The following is a 23,135-nucleotide window of genomic DNA, read 5'->3' on the forward strand; positions in this document are numbered from 1 at the left end:
GTTTTCTGAACACTGATACTGCAATTCCACAAGTCAGACAGGAAACAGAATTCTAGTTTGTTTCAATATCATCTGACCTATCAAAAGAAGCATTTCAGTGACTAATATAGCAAGCACGAAAACTGACCCTCCGTGAAAGTAATAAACTTGCTGCTCTGAACATCAGATCCATAAGCAGGAGTAACAGGTAACCTGAAGTGTCACCTCCAAGAACGGGACCCAGCCCCACAATGAGGAAGCAATTTAACTCTGCCTTAGCCTTGAAAATGTGACAAAACTGAGTTGGACAGCAGTCTTGAGACACATGGGACAAAAGGCGAGATTCGTTCTGTCCGGGGAAAAACAAGGTCAGGTTTTTGTGCTTTCTTTGTGGCACTTTTAAATACACCAACAAAATGTGATTCTCTTGCAATTTTATACTTTAAATCCCCTACATTTTCCCTTCCACTTGGCTTCCAAACCACCCCACACATTCTCAAGCACTCACAAAATGACCCACTGTAAAGGGTTCCTTTTTATCTCACTGTAATTCCCAATAGCATGGGAATAAGACACAAACAACACAAAAAAACCTGCTGAAACGAAGGAATGCAAACTCATTACACTGCATTTAATTCTCATCTCCTTTAAGAAGATGCTTTAAGAAGCATCTTCTTAAAGGAGTTTGGTTTGCTTTGAGTTACTTCACTCTTCCTTCTGAGAAACAGCTTTTCTGAACCAGTATTGTTATCCATTTTTTAATTATTATATGTAAATGACCTACTTAAAAACAGCTGATGAAATACACTTTGTTCCAGATCTATTCTGAAGGGAAAAGGAGGTTATCTTTCCCACGAATGGATCTCCTAAGTGAAAAGCCCCTAACTTAAAGTGTTTTTGTAAACTCTGGTGGAGAGCAGAAAGTGTACTAACTTCTACTCCAACAACTATATTTCAGATTTTCAGGACAAATGAGAGAGTGACAGATTCATAAAGAGAGTGACAAATTCATCGATGAAGACTGCGGAGAGGAGAGGTATGTAAAACCATCATCTCAATAAAATATTCATTCTTCAACAGGAAGGGCATTTGTTGCTATTCTACCAGTACAATAATGATGTATGAAATAAATCAACTTTGTCTGGGGTTTTCACTCCAGGTATTCCTCAACCCTAAGCAAAGTTAAGAGTTTCTAGGTTTTGTAAACTTGTTTATATTGAGAGGTTGGCAAAACTAAAATGCAGCAAATTATGAAAAAAAAGGTTTAAGGTTTAATATACAATACAAATAACATCTACCTAAATGAATTATATCACAATTATCTCTTTTCTAAAATAAACAATTTTTTAATCTACAAAAAATAGGAATAACAAATCCCTTACAGTTTATAGGCTGAATGTAAAATTATTATTAGATGACATAGAGAATATATATACATTCATGATCCAAAACTTCAAAAGCAGAAAAACTTTTTCTAGCAAAGCAGAAAAATGAGTGCATTTCAAACACACTTTCAGTACACTCTCAGTTCTGTATCAAAGTTTATTAAAATGCTTACATTTGCAGCTTTTCACTTAAGAGATCCACTGTGGGGCTGGGCATGGTGGCTCAGACCTGTAATCCCGGCACTGTAAGAGGCCGAAACAGGCAGATCCCTTGAGGTCAGGAGTTCAAGACCAGCCTGGCCAACATGGCAAAACCCCATCTCCACTAAAAATACAAAAATTAGCTGGGCATGGTTGTGTGCGCCTGTAATCCCAGCTACTCGGGAGACTGAGGCACAAGAATCATTTGAACCTGGGAGGCGAAGGTTGCAGTGAGCCGAGATCATGCCACTGCACTCCAGCCTGGGTGACAAGAGTGAGATTCTGTCCAAAAAAAAAAAAGATCCACTGGGGAAGAGAAAACCTTTTTGTTCCTTCTCAGAACAGACCTGGAACAATCATCATCAGGATACCTCAGTCTGTCCACCAAGTCCATTGGTGCGATCTTAAGAGTCACATGACTTCGGGATGTTTGAATAAAAGGGGCCTTGACTTGGACCTACAGGGCAGGTAAAATGGTCAACAGTCGTTCCAGCTCTTGCTGCTAAAGAACAGAACGTCCCTGTGAACACGGGCCACATTCTCTCAGCAAACCACAACAGAAATTGTTCGGGAAAAGAATAAACTCAATCCATCATGATTTCCTTCTGTTTTCTGAAATTCTCCCGGCAAGTCAGTCTGCATCTGCAATTCTGCCTGCTCTGTGAGTGATCCTTTGCACAGGGTTCCAGCTCCCCATTGTCCAAAGGTGTCCCTGGGGCACGGTCCTCTCCTAACCCCTGGGGCAGGCTGGCTTCCCCTTTCATCCCACAGATGGAGGGAAGACGCACAGGCGTTCGTAACGGGCCAGAAGTCACACCACATGTGGAACTAGATTCACAGCCACACCAAGATTCCTTCCTGCAGACCCACAATGCTGAAGCTAATAAATCTGAGTTATCAAATGCTGCACCAGTGGAGACCTGGGTGCAGGGAACATGGGAAATACCAATACAGGGGCCCTCTGTTGCAAGAGTGTGCAGAGGGGCAGACATTGGCAGGGTCAGGCCCTTGGCCTCCTGGCTGCCCTGTGGTCTCCCGAAGAGACGCCTCCCCTCCACACCCAGGACCCTGACACTTCACCACTGTGGCACTTGGGACAGGGCCTGAGGTTATTAAAAAAGAGCCCTTTCCCCTTAAACTGCTGGGATCCCCCAGAGACAGTTTTAAAGCAATGTACCTTCCCCCTTAGTGTCCTGGTTTGAAAACAAATAGCAGAAATCAGAAACAGAGGAACCTGCCTGGAGATTTCTAACTCAACCCTGGCACCAGGCGGCGGTTTGTGGCGGGGCGCCCCTAGAGCTATGCCATCCTATAAGGCTGCCAAGTGGGGCTGGCCCAAACTGGGATGGGCTGGGAAGGTAAAATGCACATGGGGCACTGAAGATTTTGTGTAAAAAAAAAAAAAAAAAAAAAAAGAACAAAAAAAAACTTAGTAGTAATTCTTGTCATCTACACGTTTAACATTTTGGATTTTGGATATACTGGATTAAATAAAACTATCATTAACATTAATTTTACGTGTTTCCTTTTACCTCTCGATGTGATCACTAGAAAACGTAAAGTGATAGACATAGCGTGCATGGTACTTCTCTTGGGCAAAACTGCCCTTGAATGCTGGGTTAGCGAACTACAGGCCCGCGGGCCAAACTCTTCCCACCACCTGTTTTTGTACAGCCAGTGAGCTAAGGCTGGTTTTTACATATATATACACACACACATATACACATACACACACACACACACACACACACACACACATATATTTTTTTTTTTGAGACGGAGTCTTGCTCTGTCGCCCAGACTGGAGTGCAGTGGTGTGATCTCAGCTCACTACAACCTCCATCTCCCGGATTGAAGCAATTCTCCTGCCTCAGTCTCCCAAGTAGCTGGGATTACAGGCACCCGCCACCACGCTCAGTTAATTTTGTATTTTTAGTAGAGATGGGGTTTTGCCATGTTGGCCAGGCTGGTCTCAAACTCCTGACCTCAAGTGATCCGCCCACCTCGGCCTCCCAAAATGCTGGGATTACAGGTGTGGGCCACCGCACCCGGCTGGTTTTTACATTTTAAAATGGTTGGGATTAAAAACAAAATCAAAAGAAGAGTATTTTGTGACATGTGAATGGCATGGAACTCAAATGTCAAGTGCCCATGAAGTCCATCTCTTCCCTGCCAGGCTGCCTCGGGCTGCTCTCAAGCTGTGAGGCAGGTCTATCAAATACTATCTGGTCCTTTAGGGAAAACGTTTGCTGACCCCTGCCCTGGAGTTTTGCAAATACAGACCCAGGTTTCTGAGCTGAGGAGGGTGTGGCTCAAGCCCCCTCTGGGCTTCATGGGAACTGCACAGGAGCTGACCTAGGATCCAAGGCCACTGAGCCTGGTCAGAGGCAGGACGGGACCAAGTCCCACCAGCTCACTGGGATGGCTACAGCTGACCCAGAAATTTTTTTGGCATCAAATTCTCTTCAGATCACTCTCTTAAGTTTCTCATTTGTGATGGATGACTCAAAATTGTTGCTTATTTTCAGAACAGAGCAGGCCCATAGACAGGCTGGGGACCCCAAAGAGGCAGACAGCCTGTCCCAACCCCCTCTTGGATGATGCTTCAGAAACCCCAGCCATCTAGAAAGAGGAAGGGTGGAGGGACACTGGTCTCCCATAGTGTCATCTCTAAAGCTACATAATCCCAAATGGCTCGGACCAAAATGAAATGAACTCCACACAGGGTAACAAGCATGACCAGGGTCGGACACTCAAGGGAATGGCCCAAAAGGTGAGCTGCTTAATAACCTGGCTGTGGGACTTTGATGAAGTTACTCACCTGTGCAGGCCTCAGTGTCCTCTCGGGTAAAAGGGGATGGGAATTACTGCCTGTTTCCTAAGACCTGTGCATATTAAATAACACATATAAAGAACTCGGAATAATGCTCTGTTCATAGTAGGCACTTGATCAATGTTTGTTGAAAGAAAATGAGTACTGGTGGGCTATTTATTTAGGGAACTAGTTATTGAGGCATTTGCCCAATCTGATTCAAGTTCATAAGTCATTAGTAATGAAAATAAAATTTCTATTAATTTAATGGGAAACAGTAATGTTGATAACTTACATCTTACTGTCATAGTAATTCAAAAAGTAGCTCTCAATACCTTTTATTTTGTTTTTATGCCCTTGGCTTTTTGTATCAAAGTAGCTACAAGGAACTACTTTCCAAAAGCTACAATAGCTTTTGCCTTAAGAATGTTATTGAAGGCACTGTCTATGTAAGAATATACAGCCTGTATTAAAACAACCAGTATTAAAGTCAACGTTTAGAAGTTGACTTTAGCGCTAATGCTAAAAGAAGCTTTTCCTTCATGGGAGAACTGATGCCTTTTTTTCCTGAGAGTCAGTGCAACACATCAACGGCCATGTTTTGCTTTTTGTTTTAGGTGCCAGAAAGCTCACATCCTAAGTTTTGGTTCACATCTACCAACGGGAGGGAATCCTAAGACGTACATATGTGATCCAGCTTTTCCCTTCATCGCGACCTATTATTCCATTGCCCGTTCTTTATTTTTGTTTGTATTTTACTGTAGATGGTCCCCAACTTAGGAAAGTTTGACTTACACTTTTTCAACTTTACCAGGTGAGGAAGCCACAGGCAGTCAGCAGAAAGCAGTGAGCTGCTCCCTCCACAGGCCCGGCAGCGGCAGCCCCGCGATCTCCAGGGTGGACGTCGGTACTTCATGGCAACCTGCACTGCCAGGTGCTCCTGCCCAACTGTCGGCTAACATTTACCCATTCCAAGCGCACTTAAGGTAGGTGAGGCTATGTTACCATGTTCAGTAGACTGAAGGGTATTAAACGCATTTCCGACTTAAAAGTATCTTCAACTTAGGATGGGTTTCTGGGAAGGCAGCCCTGTCGTAAATTAGAGAGTATCTGTCTGTATCAAACGTGTGACCTTACGTGCACACTTCATTCTCTCATGCAATGAAATAGGCAGAAACAAGCAAACTATTATTACCAACATACAAATAGTGAGATTTCAATGACCAGATACTCAAACGAGCCTGCAAAAATCCTCACACCACGGCCTACAGGATGAAGTCCATAAATGACTACACTGATTAAATAAGTCTTTGCATTTCTTCATTTATATTGGTCCTATTTTGAGAAATGTCTAGAAAGGTAGCAAAATCACCTAGTATATAGGTTCGGGTAAATAATGAAGAGTACTCAGTACTATCTTCTTAAGAAAAGAAAAAAAATTCTGAATTTACTAATTTTTTTCCTCTTAAGAAAAGAAATCTAGGGTGTTGGCTACGTTTGCTCATGTTGAGAATGCAAAAGGCCACTGTTTCTTAAGCGGCTCTTGCACAACAAAGAAAAACTACCTGCTCCCTGGCCCAGCTGCCTGCTTTGCTGGAGAAGGCAGGCGGGGTGGAGACTCCTCCAGGAGGTGTTTAATAATCTGCAAAGGTCCAGACAGCAACCCGGGGCAGACACAGCTCAAGCCAGCCAACCTGACCATTGGAAAGAAAGGAGGAGAATGCACACTTTCCTGGGTTCAGCTCTCTGGGGTCCCCAACACCTCCTCTTTGTGGCCATCTTGTCCCCTGGCACCAAAGCTGAGCTCAGAGGAAAGCACCTGCCATGATCCACTCTGTCTCTGCCGCCTCCCTGCCCACTCCTGTGGGAAGCTCCCTCTCGGCATCTGTCCGTCATCAGCATCTGTCCGTCATCGGCATCTGTCTGTCACGGGTCATCTGCCGCACCACACTGAGAACCCATGAGTGCCAAATGTCCCCCGTCAGCTGGCCCACCCGCATTTCATCTTCCTGGCTTAAGAAGGTGAGTCTCAGGGCCCAGCCGTCTATCAGAACTGACCTGGTCTTCTCCGACCCCTTTCCCTATGATTTTTTGGTGGCTTTTTTCTTTTAGGATTTTCTATATCCCACGTTGGTCACTTACACTCTGTATTTACTCTCTTATAAAAATATGTTACTATTGGTGATAACCATTGGGTTTCGCAAGAAAACCTGTATCCTGGCACCCACTGCGGGGCTGGGAATCTGCGCAGATAGCTGCCTGGTCTTTGGTGACCAGATTTTCCACGTTCCTCCTTGAGCGCTGCCATGTGACAGCAGCCTCAGACAGCAACAACTGGTCCAGTGCCCAACTCGCACGACATCCCCGTGGAAAGACGCAAACATTTACTCAACATGTTTCTTCTCTGTGGAGCAAGCTCTAAGCATCCAAGCAAAGCTGAAGGGGGGCTCTCCCTACACTGCCCTAAACACCTGGTTATTTGCCAGGTCCACACTTGGCAGTGCTAACTCAGCATGACAACACGCTTACCAAGTTCCTTTTCAGAGTGGACTTTCACCTCCCCTTATTCTGTGCATTCAGCACAGCGTATGGAGAAAAAGGCTAAGCTGGGAATCAGGACGCCTGGATTTGAGCTCTGCACCATTCCTGTGGCCTTGGCTCAGTTATTAAATCTTTCTGCATTTCAGTACCTGTAAAATGTCAGGATTCACTCAAAAATCACCTCCAAGTTTCCTGCAGTTATAACACATATATGATTGTCTATATTAACCTTCTAAAACAAGCCCAAATACAAATAATGTAAGTTTACAAAGAAACATAAACAATCACGAAAGCAAATGCTTTCCTTCACGGTCATTACACCAAGTCAATGTAACACTCCTAACGATATAACACCGTGCTCTAAAATGGCGGCCGCCCTAACCCCGCTCGGGCCAAGAAGGTGCAGTTTCATCACCTACCACCTTGTAGGAATCTAAATGGAGTTTTCGTGGGTCCAAAACATGTAAAATGCTTTCCAAAATGGTCTACTATTCCCCTGGACGGGATTTAAGGATTGCCTAAAACACACACTCTCGACGGCCCCCTTAATGTTCACAGCTAAGCAAAAAACCTGGTTTGTAAATCATCTCCCACACACATATAAAATCCCAAATTCTAACTGTAATAACTTTCTTTTTAATCAATACCTATACTTTAAAATATGTAAATATTAGGAAAATCAACCTTACTTTCTAAAGTTCAAATTCTTAGCAGCCCATAATCTTTCATCAACCTAGAAAATAACTGATAAGCCAATCTTCCTGTGAAACCATTAACAGATTCTGCTTTTCTGTCACCAGGGTAATTTACCGAGGCTAATTTTAATCCTACCACTAAACCACTAATCGCATGACTCTACAGAATTGTCCCCAAGTTTACGTTGCTACGGCAAGCACTTTTACATTAGGAATTCACTTATTTATTAACACTTTTATTTTTTAAGTTGGTTTTAGGAATGAGATCGTCTTGCTTGCCTCTCATTTTAAAAAGTAAAAAGCCATTTTTGAAAAAAGGAAGCTACTTGAGCACCTGGGGTTGCACTGCACTCAACACAATAACGTTAATTTAAATTATGCTTGGTGTTACTCAAAGGGACAAATTATCATCATTATGCTAATGGTCATGCTAAAGACATGAAAAGCTTTGAAATGATTAATCTAAATCTGGGGGGAATATGATTATCAATGTGAATGATGGTATTTTCTCAAACTGGCATAAAAATGTTCTGTCTGTGTCACTGATAATGTCAATATAAATGATGCATCACCAAAGGCAACGTGCACTCACACGCTCTTCGCTCACGTTCTCGAAGCAAAGCCCCAGCCCACCTTTCAGTCCACATATGCCTTGCTTTGGGGACACACGTGTGGATGAATAGAAATTTGTTTACTTCTTTCGTAAAACAGAGAAAACAGGATGATTAAAGCCAACAAGACTGAGACAACGAGAGAGAGGTGTCTGGAGACACATTTGCTTTGGTGTCGACTCGACAGCCATACAGAATGTTAAAAATGGAGGTGGAATCTTCTGTGGGGTTCCATACTAATAAATTCCTGCAACATGGCATAAGAGCCACCCTGTGAATTCAACACAGGTCTACCCAAAAACCCAAACCAGCATGTGTAAACAAAACACAGCCTAAGTGAAAACATCTCAGTTCTGCCTGTAGATAATTCCAGGGCCGCACCACAGAAGCTCAGGGGAACTATTAAATAGGATTGTCCATTTGTTCATTAACTCATTTCTTTAAAAAAAAAAAAAAAAGATGGGGACAAAAGCTGAGTCTTTTTGACAAAAATAATAATAATAATAAACATACTTTTTTGCTCTAGGTTAAAATCACCAGAATAATCAGGAACTAAACAGTGAATCTTCTCTTTCTGACCTGCCCAACTCTTAGCCTTATTTGTGACCCCCAGAAGTCTTAACTACTTATATTCAAGTCTGTGTTTTCCTGAATTAACAGTCACTCAGCATTGAATGGCAAACTATTTCTCACAAAAATTGTATCGGTGGAAAAAAAGTGAAACTTGTTCACTACACCCTTAAGTATCAACTGAGAAAGAATCTGCTAAAGCCACAAACGACCATTCTGTACAACTTTCAATGCATCATTTACTGTACTAAATTTCAAAGAACATTCTCGAATGCTAAAATAAATCAATGCCCAAACACAGTGTCTTGTCAGCTCATGCAATATAGGTTAAATAGTACCATATGGCAAAGACAGACACATGTTGCCCTTTTCTGAAACAAAAAAATTCCTAAACAAATGTCCTTTACTTTCACATGGGAAGAGTGGGGGATTAGAGAGTTCTTCAAGTGTTAATAGCGCTGAAAAATTTTTAATTCTTAGCCATTAACAAGAAATTATAGTTTTAATAGAGAACCTTGATTTTTTAAGCCTGTCTTTAACTGTGTCCTGAAAACTAACACCACATCTTCCTCTACGCACACCATCTCCTAAAAAAGCAAGAAAATAACAGGACAGCTGTATCCTGGAGGCTGAGCCAGCACCAGCAACTCCCCAGGGCGGTGAGAGACGTTGTCTACCTGGTTTTGAAGGAAAAAAAAAAAAAAACACCAGATTCCCTCTGCCTTGAAGATAACAAAACACACTAAGATTTCATCCCATTTTCACCACTCAGTTGAGGAACTGTCTGGATTTCACAATTACATACGATATACATCTCTTCTCGGCCCAGTAAATTCTGAGATTCTATAGACTTTACTTACTTCCTGACCAAGGTTCGGGGGGAAGGTACAGAAACAGGAATACGAAGTAAATCTACCAGAATTAACACAGAGTTAAAATACAGTATATGGTAAGATGTATCTAAACCTACTATAGTTGTCTTTTAAATAATTTTTCCTACTCTCCTGCTTGTGTTTTAGTCATCACTTAACATATATTTACATGTTTGCTTTCTAAAAATAGTTGCATTTCTAATTACTCCTGCTTTGTAATTTTCAGTACCATTTGAATTAAAGATTAAATGCCAGATCTTTTTTGGAAATGACTTTTAAGGCATGTTGAGAGCCACAAATTACACTGCTTTACAATTCGAATGTATACCATCGGAAAACATCTCAGGCTAGACATAAATACGATGATGGCTCTAGCTTTGGAAAGAGAAGCTTCAGCTGTTCAAGTCACGTGTGGCCAGATGCAGAGCATAAGGAATGCAAAACAGACAGTTGCAACTGCTGGTTTTTACCAGTCCATCTAAAATACACTTCGTACACTGTAGTGGATGCTAGAAATTTCAAATACAAATGATGCATTTATAGCCCCTATAAATATATCCTTCCTTATAGCTATTTAAGTCATTCCCCTAAAATATTCTTCAGTTAGAAAAATTAATTTTAAAATAAAGATACTTTTTAAAGAACAGGAGACATTCTAAAGTCATAGTAAAAGTTGTTCTTTCTTCCTCCTCCTCCCATAAGGTTAATTTTATTAATTATTCATAAATGTAAACATTTGACATGATTCTTTTCTTACAATAGGTTTGTGCCTTTTCAAAATTCCTGAAAATCGAACGATTCTGATAGTTCTCATCCAATGGTGGGTGGGAGGGTGGTCTTAACTGAGGGCAGAGGTCATTCCTCTATCAAAGAGAATGTCCTGCCCCACTCCCAAACTCACTGGTTCCTGGGACCAGAGAAAACTGAGGCCAGAGCTTGAATTTGAAAAATGCTGTCTCCTCTATGGCCCCTAGATACATTCCCGTAATAGGCTGCTGCCACTACACTTTCGGCCAGTCAGGTGGAAGGACTGAGGATGAGAGCCCCCAGGAGGGGAGGGAGAAGAAGGGAACAGCTACACTGTCAGCTCATGCCACCAGTTAGCGACCAGCCCAAGGGGAACCTAACCAAACAGTCGAACAACCAAATAATCACTGCTGCACAAACAGAGGCTTGTCCACAGCCCCCACCTCCATCTGCCTCCGAGAACCTCCACATCCCTCGGTGCCTCTCATACACGGGGAGATGTATTCCAACCATCACCCACTCAGACCCCACAACGGATGCACAGCCTGACACTACAATTCACTTGAAAAATGCAACTCTAAATGAGATGCAGCTCCCAACAACAGAGTAGGGGCCGCTTCCAAGGCCCTGTGAGCTAAATACAGTAATAAAATTAGTTCTTCACGTTTAGCCATTAACAATGCTGGAAGTGAAGCTCCAAGGTGCCAATTCGCAGGCAGCCAGGAAAGGCCTTTTTGCGGGATGCTAGTTAGGCAATAAATGCAAATTCAGGGAAGCAAGGATGTGCAAAGGAAGTCAGAGCGGCACACGTCCAGCTCCCCGAGCAGTGAACAAACCCACGGGTATTCCTTGGACTACGTTCAGTAGATAGACAACTGAACTTTTCCCACAGCTTCTAGAACTTTTGAGGGGGAGGGGGAGGGGGAGGGACAGCAAAGAGATGCATTTTTGAAAGAACTAATTGAGTGTGTCAGAATAGCTTTATCCAAGCACTAAAATGTATAAACATTAACAGCATGAAAGATGTCTGCTTTTGAAGAAGAAATATGACTTCCAAGTTCAAACATTTATAATGCAGATACCTAATCAAATAAATTTAACTTTCTTCCATTACAGTTCTATTACTAATAATTAAATCCATGTCTATCACTGAGAAAGTTACACATCTCCAGTTAAATTTGGCCAGCTGAAAACCAAAGAGAAAGCTGATATGTGTTTCCTGCACATTTAATAGCAATGCCTTCTTCAGTTGGAAATCTAGTAATAAGCGAAATACCACTTTTAATTAGGTAATTAACAGAAGTCCTTTTCCCCTAAATCAAAATAGAGTAAAAAACAAAATAATGCATGTCTTCAACATTTAAACAAGCATATTATACAGGAAAGTGCACACGTTTGGACAAGCTCCCTGCTGCAGAACGCAGTGAGCTTATATTTCAGTCTCTATCTCTACAGCATTAAGGTATAATGCAGCTGAAACTCTAAACACAGTCTCCAGTCAGACTTACAACCACTCCCACCAAATTCTTTTTAAAAGATTCCTTCTCTTAAATTATAAATAAGACCAATACGTATTCTGGAAAATGAACAAATAAAAATCCACAACGACCCAATACACTGAGTACTGGTTTTTCAAGAATAATCCATGACTAAACTCTACGTAAATTGCTAGGTCACATTATCATTTTTCCCCATTTGGTAAGACTGAAAACCATCTGTTGGAGTATACCTCATTTCAAAGTATTCTTTACAGAAGTCTCCTTTCCTTTTTCACATACGTTGCTAAACTTAATCACATCAAATGCTTCACTTATAAAACTCAAATATCTCCTTGCAGGGGGAAGTTAGGTAAATGGAATTAAAAGTTTCATTTATGAAAGTGGAGACAAAGTGCTTTTCACATTGTGACCTGTTTTCAAAGACCTCTCTCATTCCCTTCAGTCAATTTTGGTCTCTGGGACAACATCTTACAAAAAAAAAAAAAAAAAAAAAGTTAGAAATGTAGGACTTCAGGGTTCCAGGAAAAATAAAATCTCTAAATTAGTAGACTCTGAAGGTTGTTTACAGATAACAATGGGAAAACATTGGTGAGGTAAACTATTCTCAGGGTGTCAACAATTCATAGCAGACACATTTCTCAAAGTTAAAGTTCTTGATCTAGTGTATTTCAGGATATTAAGCCATCTGGAAAGATTATTCTAATAAACAAAAGCTTTCAGAAATAAAAATAGGCATAACTCCCATCTCTCTGCATTGTTGAAAGCTGTACCTACTAAACCTGCTATTTTGGTGTTGTGTTTCATTCTAGCGAGGCATCCCCATTCCTCTTGGTTAGTTTTATTACAGATCCACCGGGATTATTATTTTTTTAGAAGGTTAATGCGCTCTGGTGTTTCAGTATATTCAAATTAGCAAATGTTAAGAAAACAAAGCCCTACTAATGAATTAAGAAAAACATTAGACATGCTTGTGCCTTAACACACCAAAATTCAAATTCAATTACCAAAATATTTGTGAGTCTTACACAGAATTCAGTTCATCCCAGAGCCCATTCAAGATGGCCATGGGGGTCACTCCTGTGAAATTAAAGACGTCCTCCTACAAGTAACCCAACTCTCAAACCCCTGACACCACGGCAGGCTCCTACGCAACTTCACTCTCCAATTTTACTAAGGGGGGGCGAGGGGTTCTCAGACCCATGCACAATAGTGGTATGTGGCATATTTAATTCTGGCTGGTCTGTGTAAATATAAATAACAGTTACCTGACGACATAATCAAAGAATGCAAGTGAAAATGAAGCTGGAACAAATGATAAAATGAGCTCTTTTTATTTTACACGGCAGTAGCCAGTATCCTATCAAATAACATGCATGCCTAGCTCTTTTAAGTAACACATCCCTAAACCAAAATACTTCAATCATATTAATAAGGTGGTTTTTAAAATAAGCTGGAAAAGCTCCTTTTGGGAGGCTAGCCACCGTTGCATCTACTCGGGTCATTTTCTTTAATAGTATTTACTCCATAGCCCCATGGTGAACGTACATCACTCAGCTTTTAAATTACCTTCAATCAAGATTCGAAACTGCATGGCAGGCTGACGGGGGCAATGCCTTTCTGCTGTATGTGTAAGTAGGATCCCCACTAAAGTTCCTTTTGTGACTTGCTGGTTAAGTCACACGACGAGCGGACCGGAGGGTCCGAGGGCTCCGTCCTTTGTTACGCAGGGGACACCCCTGGAAGGCCAGCCCAACGCCCACGGGCACATCTGGGCTTTTCCAGGCAGTCCACAGAGCCATCCCCGGCCTCTTTACCGCGGAGACACTGTGAGGTCACACACGCAGAACACAAAACCCCCACGCAGCAGCCCCTCGCGAGGCGCCCCAAGCCCGGGTGCCCACCGCCAACTCCCACCCCAAATCCGCTCGCGGGCGCAGGACCGGTTCAGGTGTGAACACTTATGTAATCGTCCTCGGGGCCACGCCTTTCCCACCGCCCCACCTCCGCCAGAACAAAGTGAAGTTTAAAATAGAAACCAATTACCTGGGCTCCGCCGCGCCTCGGCCCCCGGAGCCCGGTCCACGCCGCCGCGCGGACCCCCGCCTGCCCCGGCCCGGAGCCCCGCGCAGACCCCAGTTCCGGACCGGACCCGCCCCCCTCCCCGGCCCCGGCCCCGGCCCCGGCCCTCCACAGCCCCATCCGCTCGCTCCCCCCAACCCCGCGGCCTGCCCTTCCCCCCGCAGCCCCCTCTCTCCTCCTCCGGGCCTCGCTCCCGCCCCCGCCGGCTCCCCCCGCCCGCCCCGCCCGCCCCCGCCCCCCGGCCCGCACAGACCCCCGCCTTTGTTATGGTGCGAAGTTGGGCTGTGGGTCCGTCTCTTTCACTTCTTGGGTTACAGTGCAGGCGTGTGACGTCCGCTCCACATGACGGGGGCGGGGGGCGGGGGGCGGGCGCCGGGGGGCGGGGGCGGCGGGCCAGGCCCTCCCCGTGCTTCTCCGCCCCTTCCCGCCCCGCCCACGGCCCTCCTCCTGGCAGCCCAGCAACAAGCGGCCACCGCCCCCACCCCGGGGCGGGCAGGTGAGTCCCCCCCCGACCCGCCCCCAGCCCAGAGGGCCGCCCTGCGCTCTCGCCCCCGGCCCCTGGCCGCGCGTGCCCCAGGTCCCCCAGTAGCGCCCCAGCGCCGCTGCTGCTCAGACACACCGAAATAGGAATGATTTAATCCAACGACACCTCCCAGGGCTGCCCAGTCCCGGTTCCGCCGGCTCCTGAGATTGGGGAGGGGCAGAATTGGGTGGAACTCGGGCTGGGGGGCGGAAATGGCCCGAGTGGGAGGGAAGGCGCGGAGTCGGACGCTACCTTGTAACCGAGTTAGATTTCTGCAGAAGAGGAGGACGAAGGTCGCCCACGGACCCTCGGGTGACCTCGGTGCGGCCTGGTGGCCGGGCACACCCGCGCATGGACGAGGTCCCTCCCAGGGGTCTCCCTGCAGGGGTCTCCGGGGAGGTAGTGGGCACGTGGGTCCTTAACCTCTCCATTGCATCATCCCCATCCCGGTGGGTACAGAAGCGCAGCAACCCCGCGGTGCTCCCGGAAGACACCGCGTCTCCAACATTTACACGGAGATGCTGCTCGGCTCAGGTCGGGTCCGTACGCTTCCCGAGGTGCGTACTACGCGAGCCACACACATCACTACCGATATTCCTGAGAAAGTCGGTGCCACAGTAAGTCAGCTGCAAGCGTGGGGTGGCCGGTGACGCGCTGTGCCCGTGAATACGCCCATTGTGCGGGTCAGACGCAGCCAGGGCGCAGCGTTCAGGAGGCGGGTGGGCAGCCGAACTTTCACTGGCCACGAGCGCTTCACCTTCTAGAATTTGCCAGGGACTAGGCATCAACTCCCAGTGAGAAAATCACATGTGAAGTTGGAAGACACATGCTGCCCTTCACTTTTCTACGGAGTTCACATCAGTTTCAGCAATCCGCGTTCTCAGTTCGCTTTGCCCGGGCGAGTGGGTTCCATCATCACCTGAACCAAAAACGCACCAGGGCGCGCGTGCCCAGGCACCAAGGCCAGAGAAACCGCACGTTTCGAGTCCCCAGTTGCTGAGAAACAATCACAGCCCTCCTCTTTTCTCCCCCTTCTGCAGGTTCCGACCTGAATCTGAAAGTGCTTCTAAACCCCATGCTTCACAGAACGTTCGGAGGGGGAGGCGCTCCGTGGGGGCTGCTGCGTGCCCATGTAGCCGAACTGACTCGAATAAAAGCGTGTCCACGTCTACATCACACATCTGTGTAAATGCAGAAGCCTGCGGATGCGCGGGGCTGGCCAGACTTCACAGTGTGCAGACACATGGGCTCATGCACGCGCACGCGCGCGCTCACACACACACCCCAAATTACCTCCGGGATGGAGAAAGCCGCTGCGGATTGGCCAGCAGAGCCGTCACTCACGCCCAGGGGGCAGGGAGACTTCGCAAAGCTGTTTCCTTTTTTTTTTTTCCTCCTCTCCTCCCTACCGTTTCATTTAATGGTAAAACAACAGCAGAGCTCTGAAAGTTAGCCATCTGCGCAGAGTTTGCCTTCTTTAAGGAGGGAGGCGTCAGACGATATCCATTTAAATATATTTTGTACTTCCACAAAGGATGGAAAGGGAAATTCACGAAGGGAGTGGAGGCGGAAAGGGAGCTCCGAGAAAGAAGGAGGGGTCATTCCGCGGGGGGCGGGGGGGGGGGCGGGGGCCGACGCAGGGGAAAGAGTTGCTCTCTACACCGAAAAGGGACTTTGACCTTCCATTGATCTCGAAATTCAAAAACGTTTCTTCACAGGTCAGATTGTAACAAACACTCGTTCCTAATTTATGAACTCGCCGTTTTGATTTTATTATTTAAGCATGCGCCAGCAATCGTGTTTCCTTAAGAAAGAACTGACCTATTTTTGGCTGGAGATAAACGATCATGTTAACAGATGTTAATCTTGTAATCTGTTTTTCCTGTAAGCACTTTACCTAGCCGGGTTTCAGACCTTAAAAATAACATCTTTTCCAAAAAGACCTGACGTCACAATTCACTCCCTGAAAAATCACACTCCCCCTCCAGTTTCTTCCCCTGCAATGATTTCAAAGACATTAAATCTTTTCCACTTTATAAATGCTGATCTGTTCTGCCTCTACTCCCACAGGCTCTTATTTGCATTTCAAATTCCACAGGTTACACCAGTCGCCTTTTCAAAAAATGTAAACCAACAATGCAGCAGCAAATGGCTTTTTGTGCATCTGGATTAAATAAAGCACAGAATGAATATATTTAAAAAGAGGGCTGCGCAAGTTGATCTTTGCACACCCGGAGACCCGGTGACTCTTTATCAGCGGAATGAGTAAGACACACACACAGCCCCCAGAGCTCCCGGTCTGCTGCGGGAAGCTTATTAACGCTGATAATAGATGAGGCTGACTTACAGACCCACATTTTTCGGGTAAAAGGCTGGTTCCCTCTGGTCCCTAATTGCGGGGGTCCACTGGCTTTCCTCACCACACACATAAACTGCTGCTTTTAAATACCCCACTCGGCTGCCATTTAACAAACTTATTCATACAAAGTTTCGTTAAAACTTGAGGCGGTTTAATCTAAATACTGATCGTAACTATTCAGTCTGTTAGTTCTCCCTGGAAATGGCAGCGGAGGCGCCTCCCCCCACCTCCCGCCCAACCACACACACCCCACCGCATTCTTCCTTCATACACCCGGGTTCATCTCGCCACCGAGGCCTCCCCCACCCGCACCCGGCGGGGCGCAGCTCCGAGGAGTCCCTGCCCACCCCTCTCCGAGTCGGTGCCAGACCCTCGCCCCCACCCCCACCCCCGCCCGAACTTCCCTTCCAGGACCTCTCACTTCTTTAACGTTAGGGTCACTTAGAAGCTCCCAGCAGACTGGCAAGCAGCCGGGGAGGGGGCCGTAAAAAACAAGGCCACCCCCACCTCCACGCAAACACGTCCCCTAGGCAGCAGCGCGCGGTGCCCACAGGCATCGATCCCATCCGCCAAACCCTTAATAATTGAAGCGGCTCCTCGGGCCCGCAGCCCCATCACCCACCTTCATTAGCCGGAGCGTTTTACTTTAAAGTAAGGCAATTTGCTCTTTGTCTCCTAATGGATGGAGAGCGCATCCGAGCTCCCCTCCTCCCGCGTCGCCTTTGACAAAGTGTACAAAGCCAGAGCCTCTTCCGCGCTCCCACCCCGGCCCCCACCCCGCCCCTCCACTGCGGTAAAAACCACCTCCCGGGCGCTCGCCCCGCCGCCCGAAGTTGCATCTTCCCCTATCCTGGAATTGACGAGCAGAGCAACTACCCACCGGGAAAGCCAAGTAGCCCTCCCCGCGCCCGGGGGGCCCCTCCCCGGCGCACCCCCCTCCCCAGCGCCTCCCCCCCTACCCCCAGCGGCGCACACCAGAGTACGGGGCACGTCGGGGCTCCGGGCCCCGCGCCCACCGCCCGCCCGCGGCCCCTGCGGCGCAGCCCTCCCCCCGCCCGCGGCCCCTACCTTGGCAGGGAGGCGGCGGGCCTGGGGAGGAGGACGCGCACGCCCCGCGCATCTGAAGGTGAAGCCGAGCGCCCGCGGCGCGGAGCCGAGCGCTGCACTAGACCGACCGCGCCAGCTGCGCCCGGGCGCGGGGGACGCGCGAGGGCGCGCGGGGCCCGCCACGCGCCCGGCCCCCTCCTCGCGCCGCCCGCGCGCGCCCCGGACGCGTCCGCCCCGCGGGGGCCCCGGCGCGAGCCGGGCTCGGGGGGCTGCGCGGCACGGGGAGGGGGCCGGGCGCTCACGGCCCGGCGCAGGCCGGAGGCTTCCCCCAGCCTGGAAATGGTCTGCCCTGTAGGAAACGCACACTCCACTATTGTCTCATCAGCACAAAGTTCTGCCACACTGAGGGGACAGTCTGGAGGCTTGCAGTGACTCAGACACAGCCAATTCCTCCCCTAATAGCACTGAATCACGGTTCCAGCGGCCAGTGGTCGCCCCTCGTCAAGGTCTAAGGCTGCTGCAGCCCCGGCTCCCGGAGGCCGTTTCCGCGCGCACACGCGCATCCATACGTACAGACGTGCTCGGGATGCGGGTCCCGCCGGCGGGTACCTGGGCACTGCGCCCCATCTGGACTGAAATGGGGACACCCCTTCGGGGGTCCCAGGTGCGTGTGCATTACACACGGCGTAGCGTGTGCGTGTCACTCAACTTCCTGGTAAATGCCTCTGGGGGTGTTCAGATGCAGGATCAATACATTAAGTCCTGAATCAAGGGTCACAGAGGTCCCGCTGGAAAGACTTCAAACAGCGGCTCTGCCACCCGGCCATTTAAAAATGAAGGGGTTGTTTACCGGTAGCCTCGAAAGTTCAACTCTTATTTTTCTGTTCTTAAAACTTCATTTCTTCACCTCACCTACTCCCCACGAGCAGTAGTTAGTTGTAATAAGTTGAGTCTGGGACTAGAAATCCTAATTTGACTCCAAAACGCTCTCCTGTTACAGGGCAGGGATGGCCGGGGTGGGGGAGGGGAGGGCGGGCGCGCGGGGGCGGGGGAGGGGCGGGTCGGAGCTAGCGAGGGCGAGCGCCCCTTCACGGCCGGTGACGTAGACCCGGGGAGCTGCGGCCTGCGGAGGGGTAACACTATCTTCTCCCACCAGGCTCCTGGCCGTATTGTTCTCCTTCTCCTCGTGATAACTCCGCAGTGGAGGTGGATTCCGTCCAAGACGCCCAACGTGGCTCCGCGTAGCAATCAGCGCTGCAATCCTGGCGGTTACCTCAGCGGCGGCGTCTCTCTCTGCGCCTCACACTCGCAGCCCGCGGCCCTCCCCAACTTAGGGCGTTTACAAAAGAAACTACTCCAGACGCGCTGCAAAGGGAGGCGCATGTGCCCGAAAGCTGGCGATCAGACGGGGGGGGCATTCTGCATGTGTGATGTTTCTGGGGGCGGTGGGGAGTGTGTGTCGGGGTCGGGGGGCGGGGGGGAGTCAGGCAGAAAGACAGGGACAACCTCCGCTATGAAGGATCCGCGAGTCCTCAAATGTAAGCTCCGTGTGACTAACGACCTGCACTGATTTGGAGAGCGGGCATGTTAAAGGTCACGGACAATTGTTGCTGGCTTCAGCATGAATGCCTAAGTGGGATGTATTCTTCAGCAATCACGTTTAAGTCTGATTCACCGAAAAGTATTGACGTGCCCACCATTCATTTCAGTACACTGTGAAAATGCACAAAGAAAGTATCCCCAAATTCAGTTAATTACAAAGCCGTAAATGTCCTTGTATACACATATTATTACATACATGTAGGTAACAACAAAGATTAAAATTTGAAGACACTTTAATAGCTTTTTGGTAGGATTTTGGAATGAATATCAGTCCTGTAAACCTACGTTCATCTGCATTCTTGGGTCTATTTTAAAGTACAAACTTGCGCTAACAATTTCCATGTGTTGAAAATGGACAAGGTAGATCATTGAATGGTGATCAAGACTTCCAAACCCCTCCACATAAAACTGTTCATGACTTGCTTCCTTTTTCTAGCCGGTTTAGGGCCCTGTCTTAAGTCACCCACATGTGATTTCACTCAGGGCATTGTCTGTCTACAATAATATTGTGCTTTTAAACCATTTCCTTTCTTACACGTTTATCTACAGTGCATGCGAAATCTGAGAGCGTAATTTGATGGATGGGCAAAGAGTTAAGTCCTGGTGTCTGGTGTGGCAGACCTAGAAAATGGCAGCTGGAGGGCCAGCATCATTTTGTTACTGACAATTGAAACGTGTTCACATTGATTGTACACAAGTCACTGGTGGTTGTTCATTTGTCAATGCACTATTCCTAGCTCACTCCACACACACAAAAAAGGTATAAAAATCAAATGTTTAATACAAGTTTCCATACTATTCCTGTAACCATATTTAGCATTGCCAACATTTCAACTGTTTTAATAGCTTCAAACACTTAAAGTAACCATTAGGGATTAAGGGCACCGTTTGCCCCTGGAATGGCCCAGGAGAGCTTCTCCTATTTTGAAAGGTTTACGTAAATTATAGTATTTGGATGGAGCAAAGTCAGCAGTATTAATGGTTGAATATTAATGGTTGATTTTGGCTACTTGTTTTATTTTAGTGATATGTGATATTTTACACATGTATGGGGTACGTGTATTTGTTACAAGCGTAGAATGTGTAATGATCAAGTCGGGGCACTTAGGGTACTCATCAGCTGGGGTATTTATTGTTTCTATGCGTTGGGAACATTTCAAGTTCTGTCTTCTATCTATTTTGAAATACACAATCCATTGTTATTAACTGTAGTCACTGTAGTCTGCTATCAAATATTAGAACTACTCCTTCTATCTAACTGTATGTTTGTACCCATTCACTAACTTCATTCCCCCCCACCCTCTATTTATAATTTTATAACAGACAATAATTTTGGTTAATGAAATAAATGGGGGAAAGAAAGCATTTTCCCTTGCTATTGTCTAACGAATTATCCGTTCAGCCTTTGGGACTCCACCCCTTTCAACGTGTGATGAAATGGTGTTCAATGGTTATGGAGTGATTGAGGACGTTTAGATTAGAAACATTCTCGAGGACTTCCATTAAAAAGATAGCTCAGAGTAAAAACCAAAAAGAACTCCGCCCCCCACAAAAAAAAAGGCCTCCAGTGCCTGAAAGCTAGAAGTGAAACTGTCTATACTATAGCATAAAATTGAAGACAAACTAAAAAATACATATTAAATATTCATGCTCAAAAATTTAAGTGCTCTGATTAGACAGTTGGGTGTGCTACTCATTAGTAAATAATATTAACCCTATCTTTGTGTAAATTTATTAGGATTGTCTATATCTGAAAAAGAAGAATTATATTATGCAATTAAGTCAAGGAGTAATCTTTTGTTTTCTGAACTAACTTAAATTTAGAGATTTCAGAGTGGATTAGGGATAAATTTGATTTAAATTATCAAGTATTCCTAGGTAAAGACTGTTTTAGGAGTACAGCTGTGCATTCCCTTTGTACTGTTTGGAATAGGTAACTATTTTGTGTATAAATGGAAATTGGCTATTTATTTAATCACTGATGGTTTCAAAAATATTACACCAATCCTAACGTGTTGGTTTTTTTTTTTTTCCTAAAATCTTTCCTTTTCATGGAACTAAAAAATTCAGAGAATACACTGTATTTGAATATGGAGGAGGGAAGAAACAGTCCTTCAGCAAGGGTGTATCGATATGGAATTTAACAGGATAATCCCCTTCGTGGATGGTGTGGCAAAATTATGATTATATTTTAAATAGAGTCTTCTATGAAGTGGTTTCAGACTGCTTAAATCTAAAGTTAACAGAATATTTTAAATCTTAATTTAGGAAACTATCTCAGTTATCGTACACATTTCTTACAAACACACACACACACAAAAGAAATCACTTCTAATGTGATCTACACCCAGAGTCTCCCGTGTTTACACTAAGATGGCTTCTTACCGAGCTTTCTCTTGTGGGGTCTTTTATTTGAGGTCAAACTGACAGTGATTTAGGTTTAATCATGGTTGAGACTTGCACGTTGCTTGAAACACTTTTGTGAAAATTTGTTCCTCCCTCTTCTGTATTCAAGTCAAAGGATGCCTTCAACAGGTAGTATGCCTGAATTTTTAGTTTGCTGAATAATCCACAAAGCATCGCCTCAAGATTGGACGCAAAATGCACCCGTGTGTGTGGGACAGAGAACGCCTTACTCATTTTCCCAGTAGCAGAAATCTTAAGAACTTTCCCACGGAACCAGCATTGTTAACAATCTGTCCTTGTTTTCCACACAGAAAAAAGAAAAAAAAAAAAAAAACCTTGCTGACCCATACACTATTGTTATTGCAACACAGATTTTCCTCTTACTGATTTTTGTGCATATATTTTGAATAATGATAAAGACGACATTAACAAATAACAATCTTGGATCACAGAGTTAGGGTATTTTTGCAATGGAGGAGAAAGCATTGTAGAAAACGTACTAGCAGTTCAAGCAACTGCAGTCACATTTTCTCACGATTTGCAGTTTTTGGTAACTCCATCAGGACTTCACAGCAGGTAGACGACCCTCAAATCTGTTCTTAATTTCAACTTAAGTAAAAGACTCTCAGCAACAGCTGGCTTCACAATTGCTGATACAGAATTCCACAGATGTGGTTGAGAACGGTTTGAAGAATAAAAGGAACTAGGCCACAGACCAGAATTCATTTAAGGAAAGACAAATTCAATAAAGATTCCTCTTTTGAAAGATTGCCCGTGTTAAGGAAGAAAGGGACTTGTTTTTCTTATTACCTTTTCTTATAATCCTACAGTATGTTAATTACTTAACAGATAGGTTGTGACCTATTAACACCACACTTTCTTACAACAGCAAAACCATTGACTTTCTCTGCCCCCAAAGCTCATTATGGCTCACCATGCATAACTGATTACATGTGCATGTTTATGCAAACTTTTCTAACGGAACTGAAAATGAAATAAGGGAACCAGCAATATCTCCTTCACTGTGGGTAGGCTAGGTACACTTGTAATGAAACTAAGTAGGGAAGACCTTTGCGTGAGATCTCATTTGACACATACATGATACAGTTCGAAGGAAAGCCGCCTTGGCATTCAGGGGGTTCGCTGGTGTAAGAAACAGAACCGTAAGAAAAGAAGTGGTCAGCATATGAATGAGTTGTCATAATTA

The 23,135-nt window shown here is 45.8% G+C and overlaps 1 protein-coding gene and 2 long non-coding RNA genes across 16 annotated transcripts in view, besides 10 other annotated features; 2 read left to right on the top strand and 1 right to left on the bottom strand.

Annotated features, from left to right (window-relative positions):
• Positions 1 to 844: part of an enhancer, noted in NCBI's record as "MED14-independent group 3 enhancer chr18:74188803-74190002 (GRCh37/hg19 assembly coordinates)", that runs on past the window's edge. NCBI's record gives its function as "activates an origin of replication core promoter dependent on BRD2, BRD4, P300/CBP and CDK7 cofactors, and independent of MED14, by STARR-seq in HCT116 cells {active_cell/tissue: HCT116}" and the evidence as "EXISTENCE:reporter gene assay evidence [ECO:0000049][PMID:35650434]".
• The window catches only part of ZNF516 (zinc finger protein 516), a 138,738-nt gene extending 119,521 nt beyond the window's left edge, over positions 1 to 19,217 (bottom strand). For 3 of the 14 annotated variants that reach the window (XR_007066258.1, XM_047437950.1, XM_047437957.1), the window contains exon 1: positions 1 to 12,383. This exon is cut by the window's left edge. The gene's annotated coding sequence lies outside the window, so the exon portion shown is untranslated. Of the gene's footprint in view, positions 12,384 to 13,478; positions 13,903 to 14,244; positions 14,312 to 14,766; positions 15,776 to 15,807; positions 15,889 to 17,495; positions 17,610 to 17,941; positions 18,041 to 18,493 lie in introns of those variants that run through there. The other 11 variants (XM_011526273.4, NM_014643.4, XM_011526274.4 and 8 more) reach the window with 8 other exon arrangements.
• Positions 1,969 to 2,540: an enhancer, noted in NCBI's record as "H3K27ac-H3K4me1 hESC enhancer chr18:74191127-74191698 (GRCh37/hg19 assembly coordinates)". NCBI's record gives its function as "activates a minimal SCP1, AML or CMV promoter by ChIP-STARR-seq in primed H9 embryonic stem cells {active_cell/tissue: H9 hESC(primed)}" and the evidence as "EXISTENCE:reporter gene assay evidence [ECO:0000049][PMID:30033119]".
• Positions 2,541 to 3,111: an enhancer, noted in NCBI's record as "H3K27ac-H3K4me1 hESC enhancer chr18:74191699-74192269 (GRCh37/hg19 assembly coordinates)". NCBI's record gives its function as "activates a minimal SCP1, AML or CMV promoter by ChIP-STARR-seq in naive and primed H9 embryonic stem cells {active_cell/tissue: H9 hESC(naive and primed)}" and the evidence as "EXISTENCE:reporter gene assay evidence [ECO:0000049][PMID:30033119]".
• Positions 14,352 to 14,441: a silencer, noted in NCBI's record as "silent region_9554". NCBI's record gives its function as "represses an Ori minimal core promoter by ATAC-STARR-seq in GM12878 lymphoblastoid cells {active_cell/tissue: GM12878}" and the evidence as "EXISTENCE:reporter gene assay evidence [ECO:0000049][PMID:35858748]".
• On the top strand, positions 14,450 to 16,716 carry ZNF516-AS1 (ZNF516 antisense RNA 1). Its single transcript, NR_136504.1, has 2 exons — positions 14,450 to 14,487; positions 15,555 to 16,716. It is a non-coding gene; the product is annotated as a ZNF516 antisense RNA 1 (long non-coding RNA).
• Positions 15,102 to 15,151: an enhancer, noted in NCBI's record as "active region_13508". NCBI's record gives its function as "activates an Ori minimal core promoter by ATAC-STARR-seq in GM12878 lymphoblastoid cells {active_cell/tissue: GM12878}" and the evidence as "EXISTENCE:reporter gene assay evidence [ECO:0000049][PMID:35858748]".
• Positions 15,832 to 15,971: an enhancer, noted in NCBI's record as "active region_13509". NCBI's record gives its function as "activates an Ori minimal core promoter by ATAC-STARR-seq in GM12878 lymphoblastoid cells {active_cell/tissue: GM12878}" and the evidence as "EXISTENCE:reporter gene assay evidence [ECO:0000049][PMID:35858748]".
• Positions 17,070 to 17,159: a silencer, noted in NCBI's record as "silent region_9555". NCBI's record gives its function as "represses an Ori minimal core promoter by ATAC-STARR-seq in GM12878 lymphoblastoid cells {active_cell/tissue: GM12878}" and the evidence as "EXISTENCE:reporter gene assay evidence [ECO:0000049][PMID:35858748]".
• Positions 17,860 to 17,959: a silencer, noted in NCBI's record as "silent region_9556". NCBI's record gives its function as "represses an Ori minimal core promoter by ATAC-STARR-seq in GM12878 lymphoblastoid cells {active_cell/tissue: GM12878}" and the evidence as "EXISTENCE:reporter gene assay evidence [ECO:0000049][PMID:35858748]".
• Positions 18,090 to 18,149: a silencer, noted in NCBI's record as "silent region_9557". NCBI's record gives its function as "represses an Ori minimal core promoter by ATAC-STARR-seq in GM12878 lymphoblastoid cells {active_cell/tissue: GM12878}" and the evidence as "EXISTENCE:reporter gene assay evidence [ECO:0000049][PMID:35858748]".
• On the top strand, positions 18,137 to 20,887 carry ZNF516-DT (ZNF516 divergent transcript). Its single transcript, NR_164145.1, has 2 exons — positions 18,137 to 18,584; positions 19,077 to 20,887. It is a non-coding gene; the product is annotated as a ZNF516 divergent transcript (long non-coding RNA).
• Positions 22,710 to 22,759: an enhancer, noted in NCBI's record as "active region_13510". NCBI's record gives its function as "activates an Ori minimal core promoter by ATAC-STARR-seq in GM12878 lymphoblastoid cells {active_cell/tissue: GM12878}" and the evidence as "EXISTENCE:reporter gene assay evidence [ECO:0000049][PMID:35858748]".

The sequence above is a fragment of the Homo sapiens genome, chromosome 18 (genome assembly GCF_000001405.40).
Source record: "Homo sapiens chromosome 18, GRCh38.p14 Primary Assembly".
Classification (NCBI taxonomy): Eukaryota; Metazoa; Chordata; class Mammalia; order Primates; family Hominidae; genus Homo; species Homo sapiens.